At 43.5% G+C, this 6,386-nt stretch overlaps 1 annotated feature.

The window, feature by feature from the left end:
* Positions 295–794: an enhancer, noted in NCBI's record as "H3K4me1 hESC enhancer chr7:46073125-46073624 (GRCh37/hg19 assembly coordinates)". NCBI's record gives its function as "activates a minimal SCP1, AML or CMV promoter by ChIP-STARR-seq in naive H9 embryonic stem cells {active_cell/tissue: H9 hESC(naive)}" and the evidence as "EXISTENCE:reporter gene assay evidence [ECO:0000049][PMID:30033119]".

Genomic DNA, 6,386 nt, shown 5'->3' on the forward strand with positions numbered 1-6,386 from the left:
GAGAGTACATTTGGATTAGGTCAGTGGCTCTCATACTTTGCTGCCTTATTATCCCCTGGGGCCTTGCTAAAACTCTGAATCTCCACCCCAAGGTTTAGACTCAGCAGATCAGGGTTAGGGCCCGAGAATCTGCATTCTTCATTGGACTCCCTGGTGCTGCTGGCATTGGCTCCACATGTTGAGAAGCTTGGATTAGAGGAAAACACAGAAGTCTAGTTCGGCTGACTGGGAAGCAGCAGGTGGAGAGTTGGGTAGGGAGATCTGTGAGGGAGGGGCTTGTGCAGGAAGGAGTTTAGGTTTTACTGATTGAAGTGGGAAGCCATTAGAAAGATCGCCCTGGTGCTTTGTGGAGAACAGTTCACAGCAAGAAAGCAGGGAGACAGGTTAGGGGCTCTCGCAGCGATTTAGGCCAGCAGTTAGGGCAGGTTGGGCTAGTAGTAACAGTGGAGGTGGTTGTTTTCAGTTATCCCTTGGAAGTAGAGGTGTCAGGCCTTGCTGATGACAGGATCTGGGATGTGAAGGAGAGAAATGAGCCAAGGACAGCAACCAGATATGAAGCCTGGGCACCCTGCAGCTGGTCAAATGTGTGTAAGGACCATTGACAGTCATGTGGTGGGGCTGGGCCGGGGCTGTCTCCCTTCTCTCCCAAACACGGCTTGTAATAATATCAAGACATTTAAGGTGCGGTGAGGTAAGTCAACCAGGGGCTGGGCACTTTTCCTCTTTAAGACCCCAGCCTGCAGGTGGCCGGACCTTCTGCGAAGCTCCAGTTGACGAGTTAGTTTTTCTCATGTGGTTCAATGACAGGGACTGACAGACACATTGTTTTGACAAAGTCTGCTCTTTTTGCTGTAATATTCCTTCTCCACATCAGAGTTCTGAGGATGGATAGCTCTAATACCCACCCTTGGAGATTACTGGAGATAAATTTATGTGAGACAGTGTAACAGAGGAAAAAGCATGGTGTTTGGAATGCCAAACCTAGGATTGTATCTTTATTCCCTCCTCCAGACTGCAGGCATATTACTTAACTTCTCACTGTCTTCATTTTCTTGTTTGAAAAATAGAGATAATAATGTCAAGTGATTCGCAGCTTTTTGAAGATGAAAGAAGATAAATCACGTGTAGGATTTTTTCATCTAAAGGTCTATGTGAAAATAAGTTGTTTTATTATTATCAATGTTTTCATTAGGATGTTGCAAAAGTACTTGATGAATTGCAAATGACTCTGTAAATGGATGATGTTGCTATGAGTTTACAAAATGTTCATAAATGGATGATGTTGCTATGAGTTTATAAAATTTTCAGCCCAATTCGTGAACTCTTGACTTGGGACTGTTCCTGTGTCTCATAGTTCACACATGCCCCGTCAGACAAATTGTCTGGTAGATTTGAATTTCTGCCATGGGTAATGAGTAGGTTTTGGAGAGTGGAACAAGGCTATCTTGGGTTTCACATTCCTCTGATTTCTCCAGAATATTTCCTGAGGACTGTGAAAGAAGGCAGTTCTAAACGCAAAGAAACTCTGGTATTGAAATGGTTTTGACATTCCAGGGAAAATCCACCAAATTAAGACAAGAACTGTGGTAGAGGGTGTACACATTTTTATTGGTTGAACTGCTATAATTCTGGATACAGTTCATTCAAATCTGCAAATAATTTTAGGATTTCATTTGTAAAAAAATGTAGTAGCATGGGAAACCTCATTGGACTCAAGAAACAAAGGCATCACAAAAATGATGAATTCTCTGTTTATTATGGAGGGATCAAGTCTGGTAATAAATTCAGGTGGACGTGCAAGATAGTCAGTATCTCACATGATGCTCAATGATGCCAGCCTTCACACAGATGCCTTCTTTCTGAAACTGTTGTTTCTCTTTGGTTGGCCCTTTGTAGGGAACTGCCTATCATCATGATAACCACCTCTAACTGAAACTCACCATATGCCGGTGGTGACCACCATGCTGAGCTCTTTCCATACTGTTTGGTTTTTCCCTGTACTATTGGTAATCCTGTCACTAACCCTGTGAATTAGGGACCAGTACAAACCTCATTTTAGAGCTGAGCAAGCAGAGTCTCCAATAAGTTGAAGAATTTGCTAATGAGAGGGTTTGCCTTGGTTTGCCTGACTCAGACCTCTCTGATCCAGGAAGTGGGATCCAGGTGAAAGGCTTATTTTCTTCTTAGTGTGGCACATATGAAATATTAGTCTTTATGTTTCTCTCTTTGGAGCTGGAAACCTGTGAATTACCACATCTTGTAGCTTCATACTCTTGGCCAGGCCCTAGTAGTGCCTGTGGCAGGAGGGGCAGCAGGGAGGGGTTCCTTGCTTAGGGTTCTCCTTGCAGACTATGACTTGGCCCCTTGGGTCCTGATCTCTTCCTCTCTGGCAGTGTTGGCTGTGAATCCATTGGGAAACAAGTATCTGTGGATACGCATGTGTATGTGTAAGTCACATAGAATCTTGGAGTCAGTACCTTTCACTCTTAGAATTGGTGTGTTCATTAAGAGATTTTCTTTTTCTTTTTCTTTTTTCTTTTTTTGAAACAGAGTCTTGCGCTGTCACCCAGGCTAGAGTGCAGTGGCATGATCTCGGCTCACTGCAACCTCTGCCTCCCGGGTTCAAGCGATTCTCTTGCCTCAGCCTCCCGGGTAGCTGCGATTGCAGGTGCCTGCCACTGTGCCTGGCTAATTTTTGTATTTTTAGTAGAGATGGGGTTTCACCATCTTGGCCAGGCTGGTCTCGGACTCCTGACCTTGTGGTCTACCCACCTCAGCCTCCCAAAGTGCTGGGATAACAGGCGTGAGCCATCGTACACAGCCTGAGATTCTCTTCTCATTTCAGTTTCCCTTACTTTCCAGTCCAGTACCCTAAACCTCCTGGGATTGGAGACTCAGGATGTATAAGGTAATCTTTTTTTTATTTTTTTTTTTTAGACAGAGTTTCACTCTTGTTGCCCAGGCTGGAGTGCAATGGCGTGATCTCGGCTCACTGCAACCTCTGCCTCCCAGGTTCAAGTGATTCTCCTGCCTCAGCCTCCCAAGTAGCTGGGATTACAGGAATGTGCCACCACACCCGGGTAATTTTGTATTTTAAGTAGAGACGGGGTTTCTCCATGTTGGTCAGGCTGGTCTCAAACTCCCGACCTCAGGTGATCCACCCTCCTCAGCCTCCCAAAGTGCTGGGATTACAGGCGAGAGCCACCGCACCTGGCCAAGGGAACCCTTTTAAACTGTGAATGACGCTGAATGCTCCTAAGTTCTTTTTATAAGTTTCTGTTCTTGGCAAACTTTCTTTATCTTATGTTTTATTTATTTCCTTGAATATGTTAAATCGACAAAAATCCCCAAAATAAACAAAAACTGTTTATCTTCTCTATTTTAGTTCCGTGAAAAAGTTGGTTCAAATCATTCAGCCTGGCATTACTGGAAATCTCTAACAAGATTTACAGCGGTGCCACCCCAATGAATTCCACCACACTGAATTCATTGTTCATTGAGAGAGATTAGAAAATGAAGATACCATGCCCCTTGGCTTCCCTGCTAAAGGAGACACTGGGAAAGGAGAGGTAAGTCTAGCCTATCATTAGTCTCTTAATTTTCTCATATTGATTTAGTTTGAAGAGTTTACTTAATTTCTTTAAAAATTATGCCCTTTTTGTTAAATTAGTTTAATTTTTAAATTGAAAACTGTATATTAAACATGGAGGAAAAAAAGAACATGTGCACAAAATGGGAAAGCCTCCAAATAACAGCAACCTGCCTGCCTCTGTTAAGCGGTGTTTATAGCCATATCTGTGCCTGTCATCCACACCAGGCTGGGTGATGTTGCTCTTGACACACCCATCCTCTGGGATTGACTCCACTCCTGGGACAGGCTGCAATGAATTGGAGGCAGCAGCAGCAGCACCAACAGGGAACTTGTTAGAAATGCAGGTTCTCCACCTCCCCCTTCACTAGGAATCTGACACTTTGGGGGTGCGACCCAGCAATCTGCACTCTGTCAAACTCGTGAGGTGATGCCCATGCATGCACAACTTGGAGCACATCGTCTGACCTCAGGTAATCACGGTGATCCCAGCTGCATTCATTTCTTGGGGCTGCCAGAACAAACTACCGCAGACGGAACGGCTTCAGAAGAAATATGTATTCTTTCCCAGTTGTGGAGGCCGGAAGTCTGAGATCAAGATGTTGGCAGAACTGGTTTCTTGTGAGACTGAGGGAAGGATCTGTTCCAGGCTTCTCTTCTTGGCTTGTAGATGGCCATCTTATCCCGGTGTCTCTTCTCATTGTCTTCCTTTAAGTGTGCCTGGGTCCAGGTTTTTCCATTTCATAAGGACACGGTCACAATAGATTAGTGCCTACATTCATGATTTTTTTCTTAACTAATTACATCCACAACAATCTATTTCTAAATAAGGTCACACTGGGGGTTAGGACTTCACTGCAACTTTGAGGGGACACATTTCAACCCATAATGCCATCCCATGCCAGTGGGAAGCTTAAGGACCAGGCAAATGCTTAGCAGAGCGTGGCTTTCCCTGAGTCTACGGTTCTTGGCTGGGCAAGTGACTTAGCTACTTAGCTTGCACCTGGCAGGTGTTGACTAAAGGCATGCTCACTTTTCCCTCTGCACGTGAAGGAATAAAAACAATACTGGGAATTCTACAACTTGTTTGGTATGTAGTGGTGAGTCTGACATTGTGTGGAGCAAGGCTGGAAGTCACCAAAACCTGACTCTTTAAAAATCTCTAAGTTCCTGGACCAGTAGTTTTCAAACCGCTCATGCCCTCTGGACTTGCGATTAATGCCCTAAGAGTCTCTATTTTATACAACAGCTTGAGCTGGGGTCTTAGGAATCTGCCACTGAAATTTGCTGCACACACTTATATAGATATAGGTATTTTTGAACTTGTATCATGCCAACATATTCTTTTTTAGCTTGATTTTATTTTTTATTTAGCAATATATTATATGCTGAGACCAGCTCGGTCGGGGAGACCCTAACCCAGTGGCGCTAGAGGAATTAAAGACGCATACACAGAAATATAGAAGTGTGAAGTGGGAAATCATGGGTCTCACAGCCTTCAGAGCTGAGAGCCCCAAACAGAGATTTACCCACATATTGATTAACAGCAAACCAGTCATTAGCATTGTTTCTATAGATATTAAATTAACTAAAAGTATCCCTTACGGGAAACGAAGGGATGGGCCAAATTAATTGCAGCAGGAAAACACCCATAAGACACAGATCACTCATGCTAATTGTTTGTGGCTTAAGAATGCCTTTAAGTGGTTTTCCGCCCTGGGTGGGCCAGGTGTTCCTTGCCCTCATTCCTGTAAATCCACAACCTTCCAGCTTGGGCGTTACGGCCATTATGGACATGTTACATTGCTGCAGAGATTTTATTTATGGCCAGTTTTGGGGCCAGTTTATGGCCAGACTTTCGGGAGCTTGCTCCCAACATGTCTCCCTTCTTTGATTTGCAAAGAGATAAAAGCAAGGGCAGCTTTGTCACAGTGAGCTACTTCTCGCAGGAATCAGGATCCTCATCTGCAGACTATACAGACAAACAACATGGATTAAAAACACAGTCATCATTGAAATCACAGAGCTTCCAAGTGTTTTTATCCATTTAAATGGGTTACTAGATGCTAATTTGTCTGCAGCTCCTTTAAACACTCCAGGTCTTGGCATTAAGGTCAGGTGTGCCTGGGATGCTTTAAATATTTGTTTTTTAAATTTTGCTATATTCTAAAACAAGTTTGTAGAGTGTCCTTCTAGATGCTTTTTTATTCTTTCCCAAATTTTGATCTTATTAAGAGCATTTAATAGTTTCCACAAATCCTTATGTTCAGCTCCTAGAGCGGGCCATATCATTTGAGGTTGAGGTGCCACTATAGCACCATGGTTCCAGATAATAGGAACTTTTGCCATACTTCTTATCATTTCTACCATCTGACTGTTTTGTTCAGATCATCTGAACATAGTGTGGCCTTGGCACGCAGACTCAGAGGTGCAATTCAAGCTAAACACCCCCTTAGGGGACCAATTAATAATGATTCCATAGGAATCGTTGTGCAGCACCTCTGCCTGTTCTGCAAAGCAATCTTCCTAAACAAGTATGTTCATTTTTTCTAACTGGGTCCAATCCTGTTTACAAATAGGTTTTTGAGGGCGGTATCCCTCAATTATAGGAGCAGATTTATTACGGTAAATACTGAGATCAGAAAGCATGTGTAACTGTGTCATAGAGTGATTGCATCCAGGTATTATTACCATCCCTTATTGAAGGAATACTCACGGCAGTGGTGATAACCGCTATCATAGCTACCATTAAATTATTCATTGTGACTGGTTGTCCCGCTTTCCTTAGGTTTTCTTC

Source organism: Homo sapiens, chromosome 7, assembly GCF_000001405.40.
Source record: "Homo sapiens chromosome 7, GRCh38.p14 Primary Assembly".
Taxonomy (NCBI): domain Eukaryota; kingdom Metazoa; phylum Chordata; class Mammalia; order Primates; family Hominidae; genus Homo; species Homo sapiens.